At 35.8% G+C, this 23,943-nt stretch overlaps 2 protein-coding genes and 1 pseudogene across 2 annotated transcripts; all 3 read left to right on the top strand.

Annotated features, from left to right (window-relative positions):
• On the top strand, positions 4,296-5,231 carry OR5M2P (olfactory receptor family 5 subfamily M member 2 pseudogene; annotated as a pseudogene).
• OR5M3 (olfactory receptor family 5 subfamily M member 3) lies at positions 11,370-15,448 on the top strand. The gene is made up of 2 exons (NM_001004742.3): positions 11,370-11,501; positions 14,181-15,448. The coding sequence occupies exon 2, from the start codon at positions 14,225-14,227 to the stop codon at positions 15,146-15,148; it is 924 nt and encodes a 307-aa protein (NP_001004742.2). The 5' UTR covers positions 11,370-11,501; positions 14,181-14,224; the 3' UTR covers positions 15,149-15,448.
• Positions 15,449-21,320: 5,872 nt separating this feature from the next.
• OR5M9 (olfactory receptor family 5 subfamily M member 9) lies at positions 21,321-22,253 on the top strand. Its single transcript, NM_001004743.1, has one exon. The coding sequence runs from the start codon at positions 21,321-21,323 to the stop codon at positions 22,251-22,253; it is 933 nt and encodes a 310-aa protein (NP_001004743.1).
• The last annotated feature ends 1,690 nt before the right edge of the window (positions 22,254-23,943 follow it).

Genomic DNA, 23,943 nt, shown 5'->3' with positions numbered 1-23,943 from the left:
TATTCACTTTGTTAAATTGTGTACATTTTAGACAGCAATGTGTTTAAATAGGTAGTTTTGAGGCAAATTTGCACAGACAATGCATTTTCCATGAAAGAAAATCTGTAGGGAGCTTACTTAGCTTCATCTTTCACTTTTTTGATATTACCAGTGTTATTGAAACATCCTGGTGGAATTTCATAGTATGGCTATTTCAGCAGATGTTTTCACTGTTATTAGTTTCAAGTAATATTATTTTTGTGTTTTCCATTTGCCTAATGTCTTGGTGCCTACTGTCACCAATCGCCACAAGAAAAAGGCAAGTTGAAAATAATTTAAGTCTACATAGCTTAATTAATCACATAAAATTTTTCTGACGTCTAAGTAAAATAAATGCTCAAACAGGCTTTTTATTGTGACCATTAAACATGTGTGAAAGTGGTCCATTAGCTTCAGTATGTGGAGCTAACGAACTTGGGTGAGTAGATCTTAAGTTCTCTTGGGTTCTCTTATTTTATAAGATTCTGGGTTCTTTTCCAATGCCCTATTTTTGTCTAGAGACCTAGTTTTTTTACAAGCAATACTTGTGCCTCAGTGAGACTTTAGTTTTCAGAATATTATTTTACTTTTTTCAACAAAATACTTGAAACATAAATCAGCCTGATTATAATCAAATCAGTCTGATTATAATCAAATCAGTCTGATTCTAATCAAATAACTAACTTGTGTCAAGGACCTTAAACAGTAAGTTGATGAATGAAATTCTCATACCTATTTTTCTAGGCTGCACAAGTAGTCACAGAATCATTCTCGGGTCATTATCAAATTCATCATCATCAAAGTTATTGACTGCATTTGAATGTTTGTTTTGAGTGTTTCTTGCCTCTCAGCAGCAGTGGACAGATTTCTCATGGGCTCTATATCTGTATATTAGCTGTCTCTGATTGCCATTGTCCCGCAATGCTAGAATTAAAATATGGTTAACGATAATGGTCTCCACTAAAAGTGCATGTCCAGATGACCAGTGAAACCTGAGCAAATTTGCAAAGCTCCTTAGAGACTAAGTCAGGACTAAAACCAAGACCCTGGATTGAAGAAGTTGCTCACCACCAGAGAGTTAAAAGAAGCCCTTGTGCCTTCCTTCTTGCCAATTAAGTTACAATTCATAGGCATTATTCTAGATTCTTGGCCCAGATTTTTCATATTCTTTACAGTTTCGGCACTGATACCTCGGCTGGCTCGCTTTCTTCTTCCTCATCCATCTCTTATCTTTGTTAGAGTGCTTGTCACTATCATCTGTAACTCAAAGACAACTCTAACTCAAAGTCCTCATTTATTCATATTTGTTTCCTGGGACAGGATAAGGAGGCAATAATATTAGATAAATTGAATTTTAACATTTTGGAAACAATTTCTGTCATTACCCAACCAGTCAATGGAACCAAAGGAAGAGATAGACCTTTCTGGGAAAGTAAAATATTACAGAAGGAGAGCACCGTTCTGAGAATTATAATATATGATTTGTCTTCTGATTCTTCTGCTTATGAGTTGTAAGCTGGGACCAGAATGTCAAATTTTCTGAGCCTGGTTACTCACCTAACTAAATTTATTTCTACTATATTGTCCACTGCTCTATTTCTAGCATCCAGCACCATGTCTGGAACTTGAAAAATGCTCAATAATTATCTGCTATAAGCACGCATGCATACACAAATGCATGGCTGACAACATATTACAAAGTAAATTAGTGTTTTTTTAACTATAAAATTTCACTTTAATAAGAGTTTAGCAATTGTTGTAAGATCTCATACAATTTAATAGAAAATATGTGTCTGATATTCTTAGATTAGGTGAAAAATAAAGTGCTACTCGTATTGACTTCCTGAGACTGCTCAGAAGAGATAAGTTTTATCAGCTTCTGACAAGTTCTCCACTAATGACATTTGCTCATGTCTGAATTGCCCCATGGAAAAAAATTAGATGTAAATTTCATTTTACGCAATTGTTAGTATACTGAAATTGTTTTTAACCAAAATTTGGAGACAGATTAACACATATGATATTTTAACTTAATTTGATATTTTATATATTTAAGATAATTTGTGATAAATTCAGTAAATGCATAATGTCTATATAAATTGTAAGCTACAAAATATAATGAATACACATTAAACCACTCCCTAGAATTATAAGTAATTTCTGTGCATTGTTTAAAGTAAATGCACAATTTAATAATTTTCCCATTTAAATAATCTATAATCCATTAAGCCAATAGTAAATACTAAAATAGTCCCTCTTTCCAACCCTGATCTGAAATGTCATCTTTGTTATATGCCACATCACCTATATACATGTAGCTGTTCCTGGACTTTCTATTCTGGAACATTAGTTAAAGTGTATATTTTTTTCCAATTTCATGTCAATAACACACTGTCCTGAATACTGGTTTTACAGCAAATCTTGATATCTAATAAGTAACTCTGCTTATTGCCCTGAGAGATATTGAGTCTTACGGTTATTTTATACTTCCGTATAAATATTAGAATCAGCTATTCCACAAGAATTGTGTTTGAATTTTGATTGGAATTTATTTGACTCTATGGGTCACTTAGGAAAGACTGACCTTTTTATGCTATTGAATCCTTCCCTTAGTGAACAAAGAATCTCTCTCCATTTTTAGTTCTTTCTTTCTCTCTCTTTTCTTTCCTTTCCTTTCCTTTCCTTTCTTTCCTTTCCTTTCCTTTCTTTCTTTCTTCTTTCTTTTTCTTTCTTTCTTTCTTTCTTCCTTCCTTCCTTCCTTCCTTCCTTCCTTCCTTCCTTTCTTTGTTTCTGAGACGAACTCTCGCCTCTCTTTGCCACCCAGGCTGGAGTGCAGTGGCATGATCTCAGTGCACTACAACCTCTGCCTCCTGTGTTCAAGTGATTCTCCTGCCTCAGTCTCCTGAGTAGCTGGGGTTACAGGTGCACACCTCCATACCTGGCTGATTTGTTTTATTTTTAGTAGAGACAGGGTTTCACCATGTTGGCCAGGCTGGTCTCGAACTCATGACCAGAAGTGATCAACCCGTCTTGGCCTCCCAAAATGCTGGGATTATAGGCATAAGCCACCACATCCAGCCCATTTTTAAGGCTTTTTAATGTTGTGTGGCAATGGCATCAAAGTGATCACATAATTTATTCTGGGTATATTAGCAGGGAGTAAGTATAGATTGAGAACCTGAAAACATTTTTTTAATCATCTTAGGGTGATTGAGTTAATTCCTTTTATCCTAATGGCTAAACTACACATCAGGGTTAACATAATGGAGGAATAGGAAATTCTTTGATATAGGACTTCTTTATACAGAGATATAAAAGAGCATGTGAGCCAAGCAGGGGACTATAATGTTGGTTCTATGCAGCATGAATGTTGTAAAATAGCAAGAAATTAAAATATAGGAACAAATTAAAACATAGATTGATACCTCAAAGATAATACATATGAAATTTCATATAGAATTGAGATATTGATGAAGGAGCATAAATACACTTGTTTAACCCAACAGACAGACAGGCTAAATTGGGATGTGCAAATTGGAAAAAATGCTTATAAACACGTGATATCAATGTTTAAGACTCAAACGAAAGGCTTTATTTACATAAGTTCCCAAAAACTAACTTATAAACAAAGAACCAATATACATATCACAATGAAAAGCACTACTACTAAAAACAACAAAATATAAAAATACACCGAGACAGTAAGTTGAACTCGGTGAGATATATAGTATATTAGCAGATCACCGAATGGGGATGTATGAGATAAGCATCTCAGTGGGATTAGTCACTTCATCTCTCTAGGATTCAGTCTCTCAGTCTTCAGAATGAAGAGCTTTGCCTGCATTATCCTCAAAGTCCTTTCTACCTCTCCATGTAGCTTTGTATGTATATGTAAGCATGTCATTAGAAGTTCTAAGCATTTCAAAATCTCTATTACAATTTAATCTTTAACATATAAGTTATCTAGATTTTTAAAAGAAATTTCCCACAGCATAAGGATACTTTCGTTTATAATTTTGCATTAAGCCTCCAACTTAATTGCACACTGTGATTACAAATTCAGCCTCAGTGGAAACCACTTGTTGCAAATGTTTAGACTTGCTTCATAGTATAACTGTTCATCTTCAGTTACAGAACTGCTACTGAGATAACATAACTAAAGCCTTTTGGCTCTTTTTATACAAAGCATGATATTTAACTAGGGTTTTAGTGATTTTTAAAAAGTTTCTCTTTCTCCTTAGATATTCAGACCAATGCGTCTCATATGAGATGAAGAAATGTCCAGAAGAAACTATACTGAACTGACAGAATTTGTTCTCTTGGGTCTAACAAGCCGTCCAGAGCTGCGAGTTGCTTTCTTGGCACTGTTCCTTTTTGTCTACATAGCCACTGTGGTAGGAAACTTGGGGATGATTATTTTAATCAAAGTTGATTCTCGACTTCACACTCCCATGTAATTTTTTCTCTCCAGTTTGTCCATTCTAGATCTGTGTTTCTCCACAAATTTCACTCCCAAAATGCTAGAAAATTTCTTATCAGAGAAGAAGACCATTTCCTATGCAGGTTGTTTGATGCAGTGCTATGTTGTCATTGCTGTGGTCCTTGCAGAGCACTGCATGTTGGCAGTCATGGCATATGACCGCTATATGGCCATCTGTAATCCATTGCTCTACAGTAGCAAAATGTCCCAAGGTGTTTGTGTCCACCTGGTCATTGTCCCTTATGTCTATGGCTTTCTTCTCAGTGTGATGGAAACCTTAAGGACCTACAACCTCTCCTTCTGTGGAACAAATGAAATCAACCATTTCTACTGTGCTGATCCTCCTCTTATCAAACTGGCATGCTCTGACACGTACAGCAAGGAGCTGTCCATGTACATAGTAGCCGGCTACAGCAACGTCCAGTCTCTTCTGATCATTCTCACATCCTACATGTTCATCCTTGTCGCTATCCTCAGAAGCCATTCTGCAGAGGGAAGGAAAAAAGCTTTTTCCACATGTGGTTCCCACCTGACAGTTGTCACAATCTTCTATGGAACCCTCTTCTGCATGCATTTGAGACGTCCCACAGACGAGTCCGTGGAGCAGGGGAAAATGGTGGCTGTGTTTTACACCACAGTGATACTCATGCTGAACTCCATGATCTATGGCCTCAGGAACAAGGATGTGAAAGAGGCGTTGAAAAAAGCAATAGGAAAACAAACATTGGGAAAATAAAAATGCTAAGCTATCATTAAAAATTTGTGAAGTAATGAGATATAATATCATTGGGTTAGATGTCACATTTTAGGCTACATTTGCACAATTCATTTCTAATTTTCTGTTAGGTAGCTGACTGAGTTAAGCTTCCTGAAACTAGCGGGTTGAAACGGGAAGAGTAGAAGATTCCATTTAGGCTTGCACGGTGGCTCACGCCTGCAATTCCCAGCACTTTGGGAAACTGAGGTGGGTGGACCACGAGGTCAAGAGATCGAGACCATCCTAGTCAACATAATAAAAATACAAAAATTAGCCAGGTATGGTGGTGGTTGCCTGTAATCCCGGCTACTTGGGAGGCTGACGCAGGAGAATCACTTGAACCCAGGAGGCGGAGCTTGCAGTGAGTCGAGATAGTGCCACTGCACTCCAGCCTAGCAACAGAGCAAGATGCTGTCCCCCCACCCAAAAATAGATGCCATTTAGGCAATTTTCTCATTCCTGCTTGTAACAGCAAGTGTCACTTCTTGCAAAATATAGTGGTTTAAACCAAACTGATTTTTTGCTTTATTTTGTTTTGATAACCGTCATTCCACTAAAGTTATTTTGTAAATCATGATGTTTAGGTTTAGTTGTATTTAAATATCAACATGAGCAGGGAGACTCACCCCAGTGCAAGTAAATTACTATATTCTTACTTTCCTTCCATTTCACTTATCATCATACTGTGAAGGATTCTAATATGGCCTCAGCCAAATTACAATATTCCTTAATCTTTAGAGGTTGTTAGAGAAGGGTCAACACTGCTGACGTTAAATCAACAATCAGCAAGTGTATGCTAAAATTTTCTTATTTAGTTTCTCCATTGATCAACATTATATCTTACAATGTCTTTTTTTTTTTTGAGATGGGTGGGGTCTCCCTCTGTCACCCAGGCTGGAGTGCAGTGATGCGATCTCGGCTCACTGCAGCCTCCACCTGCCGGGCTCAAGCAATCCTTCCCCCTCAGCCTCCCAAGTAGCTGAGACCACAGGAGCATGCCACCACACCTGGCAAATTTTTGTGTATTTTTGGTAGAGGCAGGATTTCAACACATTGCCCAGGCTGCTCTTGAACTTCAGAGCTCAAGCAATCTGACTGCTTCTGCCTCAAAAAGTGGTTGGGATTACAGGCATGAGCCACCATACCTGGCCATCTTAAAATGTCTTAGCAGCAAAGGCAAATACACCATTATAATCTGTGTCAGAAGAGGGGACTTGTGGTCTTCATGGACCATTGTCATAAGGAAATTTCTCATAAGTGTGAAGCCATGGTGTCAAAAAATTCCAATCCAGCCAGGCACAGTGGCTCATGCCTGTAATCCCAGCACTTTAGGAGGCTAAGGTGGAAGGATCATTTGAGCTCAGGAGTTCGAGGTTGGAATGAGGTGTGACTATGCCACTCAGCCACTCACTTCAGCCTGAGCAACAGAGCAAGACCCTGTCTCTGAAAAAATAAAATAAAATAAAATAAAATCCAAGTATCAGGAAAGAGTTGGAATCAGATTACTTGGCTGTTTACCCAGCCATCTAAAGATTCTTCTCACCCTCATGGATGATTTGAGGACCTAGAACTCTCCTTCTGTGTTGCTAATGAAAGCACATTATCCAACCATCTAAAAATTGGAAACAGACACAAAACTGTTAGGGGTCACAAGCTGAATTACTGCATAGCAAGAGAAGCAATACCTAGCAAAGATGTGCCAAAGATGCTAAGTACTGACCAAGCCTGATGGTGTTTCTTCTCACATCTAACCCTGCTTTAAAAGTTAAAGGAATGGATAAGGCAGTAATATAAATACAATGACTATCATCATTTTGTTATATTGCTATTAACCAATAATATCTAACCATTAGTTCAATAAAGACATCTTTGGATTTAAAATAATTTTGCCAGTAGAGGTACAATTTATCGTGGTAATTTTTATGCTTAGGAGAAAAGGGAATATGATCTTCAGAGACCTGTGAGCATTTATTAAAATCTTATTAACTGATAGATGGCCCACACCGTCTTGTGTTCTAGACCATAATTCTATTGAGTCAATGTTAATGTTCCATGATCACAAATAACTGAAAGAAAATTAAACTGTTTTACCTTCAACACACTCACACACACTTTTATGTGTGTGTGTGTGTGTGTGTGTTAAATTCTCCAATTCTCTGTGGATATCAACTTTTCCTACAATTCAATTCAGTTCTGACACTATCTACCTGGCACTTGCCTCAGATCACACAGGCTCAGCCCCACAACACTGCTTTACCTCCCATTCCTTAGCCACTTCAGACACTGATGGCAAATCTGTGATCCAGTTTTGCAAGATAGCTCCAAAATGCTCTATGTTATTTGAAGAAAAAATAGAGTATAAAATTGGAAAAAAAAATTGCCAGGCAGGGTGGCTCATGCCTATAATCCCAGCACTTTGGGAGGTAGAGGCAGGAGGATCACTGAATCCAGGAGTTTGAGATCAGCCTGTGCAATATAGTGAGATATTGTCTGCACAAAAACAAACAAACAAATGCAACAAAACTAGTCAGGAGTGATGGCACATGTCTGTAGTTGCAGCTACTTGGGAGGCTGGGGTGGGAGAATTCCTTGAGACTGAGAGATTGAGGCCACAGTGAACCTGTATTGTGCCTCTGCACTTCCGCCTGGGAAACAGAGAGACCCCATCCCCAAAATAAAACAATAAAACATTAATAAAATTAGGGAAAAATTAAGAGGACATGATCATCACGTCCTTTGAAAAGATGTCAATTTCATATGCAAATTTGAAAGTCAGGATTATTTGAGGTAGAAGGCCATACTTCTTCATACTTCAAAGACTATTTGAAAATTTGAGGATTTCAATAACTTACAATAGAGTGGGGGTAGGAAGGAGTAGCCTAGAACCAAGTGATAAGTGTGGTGCTGTCAGAGTCCAGGAACAAAACTTTATGTTGGGTTGATTATAAAGCAACATAATCCCAGATCTACTTAACTCTTCAACTATAATATAATAAATGTATTTTTTTCATTTATCCATTCACATGTTTAATGTCTATCATGTGGTTGATATTGTGTGATATTCTTGGAGAACAAACAAAAATATATTCCCTGACTGATACTGCTACCTGATGGTATGAGAAGTAGGCAGAGACCAATCAAAATTTACAAAAATGTTTAATTTTAAAATGAGCTACTGAGGCTTAGAAAGGTTGGATCAGTTTGAAGATGTCCCAGAGGAGAAGGAAAAACTGCCCACCTTCCTGGGCTTTTTAGACAAAGAGACTAATAAAGGCTCATGTAAATGACAGTTCCAAATTGAAGAGTAAAGTATTAGTTTTCTTCAGCTGCCATAACAAAGTAAACACTGAATGGCTTAAGATAACAACAATGTGTTCTTGCACAGATCTGGAGCTAGAAACCCCAAATCAGGGTTTCCACAAGACCATCCTCCTTTCTGAACTCTAGAGGAGAATCTTGTTTCTTCTTTTTGCTTCTGGTAACCCCAGGCATTTCTTGGCTTGTGGCAACATAATAACAATCTCTGCCTCCATCTTCACGTGGCTGTGTGCTATGGTTTCAATGTTGACTCCAAATCTCATGTTGAAATTTAATTTTCATTGTGATGGTGTTAAGAGGTATGACCATTAAGAAGTGATTCAATCAGGAAGGCAAAAAGAGTCAAACACCGTAAAATATTTGAAACAATTTATTCTGAGCCAATTATGAATGACTGTGGCCTGTGACACAGCCCTCAGGAGGACTTGAGAACTTGTGTTCAAGGTGGTCAGGGTGCAGCTTGGTTTTAACAATTTAGGAAAACATGAGACCTCAATTAATTTATTAATATCATTGTTTAATTTTAGTGATATACAATATAATCTCAAATTTCTAAAATATTTTGCAGATAAAATCCTACAAATGTCAAACCACAAAACCTTATAAATGTATATATCATTAAAATTAATAAATTAAAAATGTCTGAGTTGCCCTGGACCCTGAGACAAGATGCTGCATCTTGGAGTACGTGCTAGAGGCATGGGATGAGTTTGGTGGGTCAGTGTGGTCTGTGTATATCTCTGGGTGTGTGAGGGGTAAGTCCCAAGGTAAGCAAGTAGGATGGGAAATATTATGCACCTTACTGGACTTTCTACAGTATCTAGCAAAATACTTAATATTATGTAATCATCAAAAATGCAATAATGTTTAAGACACTGTGTCTGGTTTCAAGCTATTCATAGTCTAGCATTATGAAACATGCACTTAAAATGAACTGTAATAAAATGTGGTAGCTACAATATGAGCAATATGAGCTAAGGGCTGTCAAAATGCAGGAGTAGAGATTATTAATTTTACATGGGAGCCTCCAGGAAGTGTTTAAGAGAAGACAACATTTGCATGATTCAAGTAAGCAACCCTTGAGTTAAGTTACCTTCTTTCTATCTTGGAGAGGACTTTAATTAGGACTGGAATAAGGCAAGCTTACTTTCTTTCTATATGGAATGAGTCTTATCTATATTTCTGTGTGCATGTAATGTGTATGTAAAAAATGTTGACTTTCCCCAGCTTATCAGTCACTGATAAGCGTATTTACATCATAAAACCCAGAGAAACCACATGAGGCTATTTAATATCTTGTAGAGACTGACCTTAAAAATTAAACCTAACACAATATTACTACAGATCAAAATTATTTAATTTGCAACTGAAAAGCAGTCTGTGTTCAGAGAACTGCAGGTTACCCTTTATAATGTGAGGCCCGTGACCTCTGTGGATAGTAAACTCTTGGCAATAGATAGCACAATTATTCTCTTATGCCAACAATTATTCTCTCTAGATGCACTCAGACCTCTAACTTTCACAGTCTTAACCAAGGTTCTTCAACGTTAAACTACAACTTCATTTTGTGTCTGAAACATCTCAACATTATTCTGAGAATTACTTAGGAATACTTAGATGTGTACCTCTCCTATCTATTTAGTCATCTATTGAAAACTCAATCACTTTAACCATTTTCGTCAGTTAACAAATATTTTGTGAACACCTACCATGTGCCAAATACTGTTATAAATACTGGGGCAGGGCTGGGGCAATTCAGTCAATGGCCCTTTTATCAAAATTATATTACCATGGAGAAGTAAAAATGTATGTGTAGAGAAACCAGCAATTTTCTCCAATACTTCATAAGTGAGAATCAACATTTTTTTTGTGGGAATGTAAACATGGCTGGTGTTAATGCAGTGCAGTGGGGAGGCCAGAAGAGGGAACAAGTTTGAGCTGTGGGAGAAAATTTTCAGGCACCCAAGTAAAGTGACAAGTGCACATGACACTGAAGCAATCCACAATTTTTTGCTATACAAAAAACAGATTTGTGTTCCCTTAAGTCCACAAAGACCATAATAGAATGCATCATGTACACCAGTCATGTAACGAAAATGAGAGTCTTTTAGGATTAGGAAATAAGAAATTTGGTCTCTTTTCCTGTAATGGTTACTTGTTGGACAAAAGGATGAGATGGTTAATGGTACAAATTCTGGAATCAGGAGTCTGGTTCATTGAAAGTGTGACATTGACCAAATCACTGAACCTCTGAAAGACTCAGTTTCTGGTCTATAAAATGAGAATAATAATAATTGCCTCAGGGTTGAGTTACAATAAATTAGCACAGTATCTGGTGTGTATTACTTCAAAAATGCATTATTGTTGCTATTATTATTACTACTACTTGGAGTAATATTTTTGTTATTTATAAAATGAGGGAATTGAAGAAAATGTATTTTTTCTGCTTTGATATGCTATATTTTTAATTAGAGGGAATAATACTTGACTTATCTTCCCTGCAAAACCTAGCGGCAGAGAATGTGAAGTATAGAGCATGAACTTGATATATACAGTTTGGGTAACCCCATAAACAGGTTTAGTGTGATACAAATCGCCCCCGACATTTTACTTGATTCTAGAACCCATTCGAAATAACTGGAGTTTGGGGAAAAATAAAATTGTAGAAAACTCTAATGAAAAAAACCCACACACTCAACAGCTGGCTTTCTCTCTAGAGATTCATTTCCCATGGGGCCATTTCTACGGGAAAAAATAAAATAAATCTTAATTGCTCCTTGCTTTCTAAGGCAAGCAGTTAAGGGAGGCTTCCACTGTGGACTTTTCCAAGTTTCCCTTTCATCAGGTTGAAAGTGTTTACCATTCCCATATATAGCATGCGCTTTTCAACTCTGCAACCACATTGGGAATATTTCTCATCATTCTCAGGTTGGTGAAAAATGTATCTATCTGGAATTGTCAGATGGAGCTTGCATTGGAGATTTTATTTTCTTTTACGATTTATAGAAATGCATTCATGATTTTATCTGTTATGTATGTGTTGAGATACACAAAAGAGAGATACATTTTCAATAGGATTATATTATTTGATAATTACAAGTGAATAATGGAGTGTATCTGATAATTGTTTTCATATTTATTATGTGTTAATACTTAATATATCTTTTCATATTCACAAACACACAAAGAAATGGATATTATCATTAAGTCCTACTGAGGAACATAAAAAGTAAAAGCAAAACAAAACAAGAATAAAACATGTCCAGTTTTATAAAATAAATCATAGAGCCTGGATCCAACCAAGCTCTGATGATAGAAACAGAACACTTTAACTAGGATACTTAATATTGCTTCATACCTGATCTGGAAAAGAATCCATATTTATGGGCATTTTAATTTGAAATAAAGTAATTCAATAAGGGAAGGTCATGTGTGTATTTTTAAATTTAGGTGGTGAGGAAATTCTCTAAATACTCTTGAGGTCCCCTAATCTCTATTTCTTTGTACACTTCGCACCCCCTAGGATGAAATCTAACCCCTAGTTTCCTGTAATTTTACTATTGCTATTTATCACCTGGATAACCGTCACTCAGGGCTCTTGGTATTTAGCTTGAGGGGAGTACTAACAATGCCATCTTCTACATCCTTGTTTGTGCTGAATCACCCGTCACTACAAAATGAGATATGACTTTCCAAATAAGAATCCCTCTATTGCCAGCAAGAACATTTCAGGCAGCCACAGACATAAACTGTTGAACCAGAAATCTGGAGTTATCTGTTGACATGTCTGTAATCTCCGTTTGGATATAAATCTAAGGATCTTAGAGATTTTAACAACTCTGTAACAGATTTTACAGTCTATATATAAATATATTCTAAGGCAGTATACACAGTTTTTAGAACTTTAACTATTATTCATTTTTAAAAATGTACCCACTAATTAATCCTTCAAATTTTTATTAATTAGACCAAACCTCTGGGGCCATGTAGAATGCAATCTGTTTCAATTAGTAATTTTCTCCTCTAGTCATAGAAAAATGTTCTTTCCAAGTTTGTGGTTGAAAAGTTTTGGATTATTACTATGGATAAATGTTCACTTATTTTCACTATCCATTGTGATTTACCTTCCTGACTGCTAATTTTCTGGGTAACTGCTAACCAGTAATAATATGGATAAATTTCATCAAATTGTGATTGAATACAGTTTAACATTGCAGATTACAAGAAGGGTCTTGGGAATAATTGTTTGCTCTAGAGATAACATATAGCCATTAGAAGGTTTGACACAATCGCATCTCCAACAAATGTATTTCCTGCTGAAAGGCTATCTCAAGATTCTTATTAGATAGATTTGCACTCTGTTCTGCAGAATGTGAATGCTCATTGACAAAATATCCAATTAATGGAATTTCTCATACATATATGAGAGAAATATACATAAGCTTTATGTATGTTTATATACATATGTGTGTGTATATATATACATATGTATATACATAAATAGAGGTGTGTGTGCGTGTGAGTGTAAATTTCTATGTTAAATGAATGATGTGTACAGTAAATAACTTTACTAGGTAGATTGTGAATCACTAAGAGATTTGACAGGACACAAAGATGTCCCATTTGATGGAGAAAAATTTGTGGATTATTCTCCATTATATCTAGTAAGATCATGCCAAGCACTAATGTTTTCTTAGAAATATAATTTGAGAAGCATTTTCTAGAAGAAGTTTCCTATATGATACATCTTATATTTGAAAATAAATTTGCAAAATATACAAGAAACCTTCCTAGAATTCCACTGAACCCTCAAAGAAGAATAAATCACTTCCTAAATTTCTGTCCCTATTATACCTCTATGAGAATACATTCAAGTTTTAAAAAGTATTTGTTTACATTAGTATCTTCATAAATACTGACATTAATCTGTATGTTTTACCTATTTTTGAATCTCTAGAACACAGCAGTATATGATATCTAGTGGATTATAATTTCATGTTAGAGTTGGGAGTCCATATCCAGGAAATGTTTATATAGTGTGAACATGGACCAATAATTCACCCTTTAACTTGACTTTGATGGCTACTATCATCTTTTTTTTGTTCTTCAGTTGAAAATAATGCAAATATAAGATTAGATTAAAAACATTTTTATAACATTTTAGGCTGATGAATTATTTCATCATATGATTTTTTTCTCTAATCATTGAGAATATGCTTACAATGAAAAAGAGATTAGGTAAAAATGTACACTTTTTAAGTTCTATTACGAAAATAACTATAATCCATTGTAATTATCTTTAAAATATAAAACTCCAAACATGCCATCATTGGAAATGAGGGATATTTAAGAAGTAATGAAATAATCTTGGAAATATGACTACTCACATTACTTACTACCAGTGTATTTCAGTCACTAAACTTTGTATAATTGTTATATAATAGGGACTGTCTACATTTATTCATCACAGAGCCTGTTACATAACAGGCACTGAGAAAAGATCTGTGAAAAGAATGCAAAGTGTGCTAATAGATATTGTATAAAGGGAGCATCTGAAGGTATAAATTAATAAATAAATATTCTAATATTTCCTTTATTTTATTTTAGTTATCAAAAAGTTTTGTAACTGATATTGACTTAGAATTCAGAAAATGCTCAATTTCACCGATGTGACAGAGTTCATTCTTTTGGGGCTAACGAGCCGTCGAGAATGGCAAGTTCTCTTCTTCATCATCTTTCTTGTGGTCTACATCATCACCATGGTGGGCAATATCGGCATGATGGTGTTAATCAAGGTCAGTCCTCAGCTTAACAACCCCATGTACTTTTTCCTCAGTCACTTGTCATTTGTTGATGTGTGGTTTTCTTCCAATGTCACCCCTAAAATGTTGGAAAACCTGTTATCAGATAAAAAAACAATTACTTATGCTGGTTGTTTAGTACAGTGTTTCTTCTTCATTGCTCTTGTCCATGTGGAAATTTTTATTCTTGCTGCGATGGCCTTTGATAGATACATGGCAATTGGGAATCCTCTGCTTTATGGCAGTAAAATGTCAAGGGTTGTCTGTATTCGACTGATTACTTTCCCTTACATTTATGGTTTTCTGACGAGTCTGGCAGCAACATTATGGACTTACGGCTTGTACTTCTGTGGAAAAATTGAGATCAACCATTTCTACTGTGCAGATCCACCTCTCATCAAAATGGCCTGTGCTGGGACCTTTGTAAAAGAATATACAATGATCATACTTGCCGGCATTAACTTCACATATTCCCTGACTGTAATTATCATCTCTTACTTATTCATCCTCATTGCCATTCTGCGAATGCGCTCAGCAGAAGGAAGGCAGAAGGCCTTTTCCACATGTGGGTCCCATCTGACAGCTGTCATTATATTCTATGGTACTCTGATCTTCATGTATCTCAGACGTCCCACAGAGGAGTCTGTGGAGCAGGGGAAGATGGTGGCTGTGTTCTATACCACAGTGATCCCCATGTTGAATCCCATGATCTACAGTCTGAGGAACAAGGATGTGAAAAAGGCCATGATGAAAGTGATCAGCAGATCATGTTAAACAAAATAAAATCAAATTTGATTTAATTTTATCTTCTATTATTTGTTTGGAAAAAGTTTATTACCCAGTACCTAGGAACATTAAGATAAAGATATTCTGTGGGTTGAAAAGAAAAATAAAAGTGGTACAAATTGAGAAAATATAAGGAGGAATGATTCATTTCTGTTGATGTGAGTATGGAGATTAATTACATACAAATAAGTTAATTGAAACTGTGATGTGTGCCAAAGTTCATAGGTGTACTAAGGGAAATTGCTCAAATAGCTGCAACCAAAAGACGTTTTCTTATTGAAAAGTGCAGGTGCATGAATTTAAGAAATATTTATTTGCCCACTTAAAAACAAATGTGGGGCAGAAAAAAAAAACCCATGATATTTAATTTGGTTTTCCAACATGAAGACATAAAATATTGGTCTCTCTAATTGTTATGAGATTATTTATTGTTTAATGCGTCTTTCATTATGTTGGGTAGGGTCTGTTCAGAGACTGCTACTTTGAAAATAGCAATACTATTGTATTTCATGATTTTTAAATTTTTGGTGTTTCTTAAGAAACACAACATGGTAAGTGTCTCTGTTTCACAGACCCCAGGAACTGCTGTGTTTCTACTCTATGATTGCCAGTCACCAGACTGTGGTTTGCCCCTGCTGGTGTCTTCACTCTGACTGAGGAGTTGAAGAATTAGTGGAAGAAGCTGTCATTGTAAAACCATTGCTCTCCAAATTCCACAGAATAAATTACATTCTACTCATGTGGGATATTTGGTACACCTGTGACCAAGACATGGCACTTACATATTCTAGTTAACTTTTGCATTTAAAATAAATTCAGTATTTAGCATGCACTATTTGTTGTTATCAATAACATTTTATGACATAATAATGGGAACATAATTTCACATCTCTCTTGCACCATATTTCGTGAAGCATAAGGATGAAGCTACAACTTAACTTATTTCATCAAGTCTACGTCCTCAGCCCAAATAAATAAATAATCACCTTCTGTTTTGAGGCAAACAATATATAGCTAAAGAAATGTAATTTATACATTTTATATTATACATTTAAATAATTAAAATTATCTGCAAAGATGTGAATATAAAGCAAGATTGGTGTCATCTGAGAGAAAAGCATTCTTTTTTTATTTAACTTTTATTTTAAGTTCAAGGGTAGGAGTGCAGGTTTGTTCTATAGGTAAACTTGTGTTATAGAGGTTTGTGGTACAGAATATTTCATCACCCAAGTACTAAGCCTAGTACCCATTAATTATTATCCTGATCCTCCCCCTCCTCCCAATCTCCACCCTTTCATAGGCCTCAATGTGTGTTGCTCCCCTCTATGTGTCCTTGTACTCTCAACATTTAGCTCACACTTCTAAGTGAGAACATGAGGTATTTGGTTTTCTGTTCCTGCATTAGTTTGCTAAAGATAATGGTCTCTATCTCCGTCTATCTTCTTGCAAAGGACAAGATCTCGTTTTTTTCCTTATGGCTGCCTAGTATTCCATGATGTATATGTGCATTTTCTTTATCCAGTTTATCACCAATGGGCTTTTAGGTTGATTACCTGTATTGTGAATAGTGCTGCAGTGAATATACATGTACATTTGTCTTTATAGTAGAACAATTTATATTCACTTGGGCATATACCCAGGCATGGAATTGCTGGATATTTCTGTTCTGAGGTCTTTGAGTAATCCCCACACTGTCTTCCACAATGGTTAAACCAAGATACATGAGGCCAAGAATCATAAGAAAAAGCTCAACATCACTGATGATTAACAAAATGGAAATCAAAACTACGAGATACCTTCTCACACCAGTCAGAATGGCTATTATCAAAAAGCCAAAAAAATTAGATGCTGGCAAGGTTGTGAAGAAAAAGAAATGTTTATCTGCTATTGATGAAAGTGTAAAAAAGCATTCTTCTTTGTCCAATATTGAATTTTATTTACCTCAAGAGAACCTATAAGTGAAATGAACTCATTTCGACATACATACACATAAATCATGGGCAGCATGGTTGAAAGATGTCGAACCTCTAGAGACTTTTAATATCTAAGGTACACAACTTCTTTTGGGATTACTCCGAAGTTGAAAGTAATTTATTTTGTCAATAAAAACATTTATTTGCCATTTTTGGGGAACCCTTGATATGCCAAATTATTTTCTTGTTATTAATAAATTTCAAAATGTGTTTTGAAAGCATTTTATCACCTGCAGCTTATTGGCAGGTAAATTTGAACCATCTTTGTTACCTCTCTTTTTCAAAGGCGAAATGTGTTTCTGTTTATTCTTTTGAGGGTTAGTTTAGTGTTACATAAAGAATGATGACTCCAGGTCAGTGGTCAAACCATGTTTCTGGTTTGAGTTTCCAAATTTCAAGTGAATTTGTGGATGACCTTGGACAAGTCACTTTTTTCACCCATCCAGTTACTTTTAAGGTTGTAAACTCTGATCCCTATGTATTTTCTGCCTAATAATTTTCATGAGTCTCGATTTTTTGGCAGAGCTTAAAGCAATTTTCCCATCTGAATTTCAAGATATTTCTGTAAAGTACTTTTAAAAATAGATAGTATTGTCACACTTATTTCTACATCTGTGAGCTTAATCATATTTAAGCATTTCCAACGTCTAAGCATGAAGCCAAGTTATCTCTTTCTCTATTTCTCTTCTGTATTTTTTTCTTCCTGTCTCTCTCTGTCTCTCTCTCTCTCTCACACACACACACACACACACACACACACACACACACACACACTCTTTCTTCTTTTCCAATCTACATTTTCTTGAGATATTGCATATGAAGTCAAAATTCCCTAATGTCAAACTCATCTAATAGACTTTCTCAATAACTGGTGAGAAGAAATTAATAAATTCTGGGTACTTTGACACTGGAAAAAACTTTGCCCAAACACAATTCTGTTGTTGATTTTTCAGACTAAATTGAGGAAGTATATGCTTTAGAGTTTAAATAATTTAAGTTTGCATCCATGTATCCATGTTCTTTGGCTTGATAGTATGTAAACTTGCCAATACTGCATGTTCTCACTTATAAGTGGGAGCTAAACAACAAGAATACATGGACACATAGCAGGGAACAACAACAACATAACCACGGCCTACTTGAGAATAGGGGTGAGGGGAGGGAGAGGAGCAAAAAAATACCTAAAATACCTATTAGGTGCTATGTTTGTTACCTGGTGATGAAATAATCTGTACATCAAGCCACTTTGTCTGTGTAACAAACCTGCATATGTACCCCAACCCTAAAATTAAAAAAGGAAAGACTTAAAATCATACTTCTCTTTTTTTTTTTTTCTTGAGATGGAGTCTTACTCTCTTGCCCAGGCTGGAGTGCAGTGGCACTGTCTCGACTCACTACTACCTCTGCCTCCCAGGTTCAAGCGATTCTCTTGCCTCAGCCTCCCGAGTGGCTGGGATTACAGGCACCCGACATCATGCCCAGGTAATTTTTGTATTATTGTAGAGACGGGGTACCACCATGTTGGCCGGGCTGGTCTTGAACTCCTGACCTCAGATGTTCTACCCGCGTTGGCCTCCCAAAGTGCTGGGATTACAGGTGTGAGCCACCAAGCCTGGTACATCATACTTATTTCACATAGGAATACTTTTATTCTTCAAGGTAAGGATAATATTAGAATACTAAAGAAGTAGTAAGATAATACTAGTAAACTGTTTAGAGGTAAAACTGCACAAATAATGACAACTTTTTGTGTGCTTCACATGCAACAGCCATTGGGAAGAGAGTTATCCCTATATCATTCTAAGATCATCTCAACCAAAATGTAAGATAGTCATTTCCCTATTCTGCAGATGAGTACACTGAGGCTCTGAAGTACATTGCTTGTCCAAGGTGGCATAGTGAAAGTGGTATACCAAAGGTATAATCCCAGACCTGACTGACTTCAGTAATAACTTCTACTTGTACTCATTTTACCAATGATTTATTCTTTGAGGCATCTGACATTGTAACACAACCATGAGATGCATAGGACGTGCATTCCTATGATCATCTATCCTGACAGACGGCACTTTTTAGAACAATTGTCCAACCAGAAAGAAAGGGACTCACTGAAATTTTATATGATGCAGGCCAATATTTTGCTGAAATGCATAATTGTCAATATGTAAATAAAAGAAGACAGAACCCATGTGAAAGTGAGAGATAAGATTATATTATTGATCAAGAATTTTGATCTATTTTATTTAAAAAATCTTCTTCTCATCCACACTCCTTAACTGCTCCTATACCTGAGCTGTGTCTAGAATTTTACTTATTATTTTTTTCATAATTACCTGAATCGTCCTTTAGGGAGATGATCCCAGTGTTCCTAATGTTTAAGACATTATTATAAATAGTGAGAAGTTATCATTTTCTACTCTCTATGCTGAAGGTAGGTCTGCAAGTTTTTCACTCATTACAATAGAGATTGATGTAGTCAAATATTTTAATTTCACTCTCTGTCTTGAAGAGGCAACTAATACCTTATTCACAGACTTATTTTGTTATCAGAGTGTCTTCTTGTATGAAATTATATTATTGGGAACTTTTTGTATTTCTATCCCTGGTTTGTTGAAAACTTTGTAAGAATGAGCTTATTATAATGAAGATTTGCAAAACTCCTCATTTCTCATTTTTTGTCCTCTCATTCTCTTTTACAGACAAAAACTATTAACTTTCATAATATTGTTTAAATATATGTATGAATGGAGTTGGGGATATAGGGTCAGTTGGCATGATTGGTCCAGTAATTTATGCCTTCACTGGTTTTCTTCATGAAAAATTCCTGAAGTGTTAATAGAAATGAATTTTGGGTTTTATTTGTCGATTACAAATTCAATCTTCTTGATTATTTTGATAGATGATACACATTTAGGTATTAAATTAATTTTCTCCCAGAAATCATTATCATCTGATCCTGGGATGATAAACTTGGACAAGTAGAGAGTTGCAGTGATTTACTATCTCAGTGGTTTAGGCTGCTCTGGGGTAACCAAAGCTCTTAAAAGTCCATTAAAGATGAACTATGAAAGAGATAACTTCCACATATTGTGGAGGATGAGCAAACTGAATTTCAAATGAAAAGAAATATAATGGTAGAAGAGGCTGTCAAAGATGCAGCAATAGAAGATTGTTAAAGACACAACACTAAAATGATTTTGTTTGCATCCCAATTCTGCTAATTAGTAGACCTCTGACCCAGGGAGACTTTCTTAATCTCTCAGTGTTTAGCTTCCTCATTTGTAAAATGGTCATGCAAATAAAACCTGTTTTACAGGACATTTGCGTAGAAGAGTTTTCCTGAACATTCAATAACAGCTATTCTTATAAGTATTACAAGGCTGGGACTGTTGCCTCTAGAAAAATATTTCTTAGAGAGTTTTAATTATACTGGATTATTGTACTATGTTTAGTGGATCTAGAGATCAGGGCATGTAGAAATCATATGTATAACTATTTCTAAATTTCTGTTAAATGTAACTACTAAGCAAGACAGTTTAAGGAGTTTCAAGGTAAACAAAACAAACTAATATTAGGCTGGTACAAAAGTAATTGCATTTTTGCCATTGAAAGTAACGGCAAAACCCACAATAACTTTTGCAGCAACCTAAATGCTAAAGCGCTAATGATTTTGTGTAAAATAAGAAAAGTACATCACACTGTGACTGAAACAAAATGTAGTGTTAGTTTATGTTTCTTAGATGCCTTGATGCTTTATTTCATATATTTTATACTTAATACAGTAGTAACACTAACCCAAGTCAAATTCTGTTAGTAACAGGAAACCAGTAGAGATCAGAAATTTTTACATAGGAAAATCTCTGACCACAGCATCTGCAGCTCTTTACCTAGTTTGACATTTATAATGAGCCAAAAAAGTGAAACTACAATCATGGACATCTATAGCAAAGGAAAGTTGGATCAGAACTAAAACTGCAATGTCTATTATGTTATATATTCAGTTCATTTTATGTATAGTATATTTAAACCCTGTATTGTACATTTTTGCAAAGTGTACATTGTTTTTAAATTATTTGAATTAAAATAAGGACAAACGCAACTCAGTTTCAAGAATAAAACAAATTCATTTACTTTCCTTTTGAAACAATTTCTCCATAGGCAACACAGACTTGGCCTATACTAAGGCAATGCCTAATTTCACGGATGTGACAGAATTTACTCTCCTGGGGCTGACCTGTCGTCAGGAGCTACAGGTTCTCTTTTTTGTGGTGTTCCTAGCGGTTTACATGATCACTCTGTTGGGAAATATTGGTATGATCATTTTGATTAGCATCAGTCCTCAGCTTCAGAGTCCCATGTACTTTTTCCTGAGTCATCTGTCTTTTGCGGACGTGTGCTTCTCCTCCAACGTTACCCCCAAAATGCTGGAAAACTTATTATCAGAGACAAAAACCATTTCCTATGTGGGATGCTTGGTGCAGTGCTACTTTTTCATTGCCGTTGTCCACGTGGAGGTCTATATCCTGGCTGTGATGGCCTTTGACAGGTACATGGCCGGCTGCAACCCTCTGCTTTATGGCAGTAAAATGTCTAGGACTGTGTGTGTTCGGCTCATCTCTGTGCCTTATGTCTATGGATTCTCTGTCAGCCTAATATGCACACTATGGACTTATGGCTTATACTTCTGTGGAAACTTTGAAATCAATCACTTCTATTGTGCAGATCCCCCTCTCATCCAGATTGCCTGTGGGAGAGTGCACATCAAAGAAATCACAATGATTGTTATTGCTGGAATTAACTTCACATATTCCCTCTCGGTGGTCCTCATCTCCTACACTCTCATTGTAGTAGCTGTGCTACGCATGCGCTCTGCCGATGGCAGGAGGAAGGCGTTCTCCACCTGTGGGTCCCACTTGACGGCTGTTTCTATGTTTTATGGGACCCCCATCTTCATGTATCTCAGGAGACCCACTGAGGAATCCGTAGAGCAGGGCAAAATGGTGGCTGTGTTTTACACCACAGTAATTCCTATGTTGAATCCCATGATCTACAGTCTGAGAAATAAGGATGTAAAAGAAGCAGTCAACAAAGCAATCACCAAGACATATGTGAGGCAGTAAAACTGTAGTGGATATTGTTGTCCCTATTATAAATAGGGTCCTGTTATAAATGGTCACATGTAAAAGTCCTAGCTCAGAAAACAGTATCAAAAGGTAACTCTTTCACACACTAAGAGGTCTGATGTAACAGGGTGATGTTTTACCCCTTGTATGGACTCTAATTACTAAGCATATTTTCTCCTATATGTGCGCCAATATTATGAAAGATGACACAATGTTCATTCACAATATGCTTAAAATTGGGCTAAGTTTAGTCACTGGAGGAACTCACAAATGAGTGTACATACATATATGTTAAGTTGGAAGTATGCTTGTTAGTGTTGGATGTTATTTTGCAGAGTACTTTATACATATACATATTCCTCAAACTAGATTTCATGTGAAATATACAAATTCTCAGAAAAAAGTAAATACTTCATTTCTTTTTCATGGCCATAGAATACTGATGAACAGTTTACCTAAAAAGTGTTTAAAATTTTGAAAATGCAATTATATTTAGAATTTTAAACTAGTGTCTTAATATAATCCTGTTTGTCATCATTTCACATAATTTGATAGTTAATAATGTTTTGTTTCAATGGTCTGTTTTCTTACCCTAACTCTACTCCTTGATGGGTACTCATTTACACATTCTTTTATGTTAGTAGGGTGAACTCTCTCTGACAAAAGATTTTCCTGCCCTAATCATAATGAAAAGATGAGGCAGTATACATTTTCTGACACAAAGTCTGAGCTTTGGCAATACCATATTGTCTTATTAAACCATTGATTGATAATATGATTTGAAAGTTTTCTTTGCTTCCAGCTCTTTTCACTAACATTAAATTCTTTGACTTTGTATATAGCAACTTAAATCAAGCTTTTAATGTCTATAGTTGATAAACCAGATAAGAAGAACTGTTCAGCTAAATTGTATGGGACCCTCACTCAAAGGTGACCAGCAGAGTTCTAAATTGCATCCCATTTGGGCCTGGTTAAACATTTTTAAAAGCTCACTGTTTGTCTAGATTGGTGCTTCCATAGCTTACTTGTTCTACATTATATTCTTGTTAAAGACAACAATGGAAATTTGTTTGCCCCAGGTGACTCTTGCTAAGTTAACTGCATAAAGGCAAGTGGGAGATAAAGGTGATTGCTGATGAGTGAGTTTATTCGGGATGTGATAATCCAACTACAAGGGTGCACAATTCAATTAGTATGTACAAGTTGACTCTGAGAAGTAAAATATAGTTGTGGTAATGCTTGTAGGAAGATGGACTAATTCAAACACAGAAAGCATTGTTATTCATGCAAATTTACCATGGTTCACTTTCCTAGTAACTTAGAATGGATCTGAGTAAAGGTAGATGGGATACGTACTCTTTCATAAATTTACATTCTGAAAGTAAAGTATGATCTGCTTGTATTGAAAATTGTGTTAACACTATGTTTATATTTCTAAACCACCCAAATTTGCTTCTAAAAAGTCAGGATGAAGAACAAAACGCAGGGCTACTCAAGCAACAACTTCTTTTACAGAGATCGGCGTCACAACCTGACATTCTAAGGCCTTATTTTTTGGGGGGTCATTATGGCAGAGCTATTCCTCATTCTCCACTAGTTCATTTTTCCTTTTAGAAATATAAAACTTGCTATCCAACTGTATGTCAGAGTTCTAATCTCTCCTTATTATCCTGATATACATTTGTGG

The sequence above is a fragment of the Homo sapiens genome, chromosome 11, assembly GCF_000001405.40.
Source record: "Homo sapiens chromosome 11, GRCh38.p14 Primary Assembly".
Lineage (NCBI taxonomy): Eukaryota > Metazoa > Chordata > Mammalia > Primates > Hominidae > Homo > Homo sapiens.
Note: the sequence above shows the minus strand (reverse complement) of the source record. Positions and strands in the feature narration are given on the sequence as shown.

Coding starts and splice junctions, on each gene's coding strand:
- OR5M9 (NM_001004743.1), top strand. CDS start 21,321: ATGCCTAATTTCACGGATGTGACAGAATTTACTCTCCTGGGGCTGACC.
- OR5M3 (NM_001004742.3), top strand. CDS start 14,225: ATGCTCAATTTCACCGATGTGACAGAGTTCATTCTTTTGGGGCTAACG.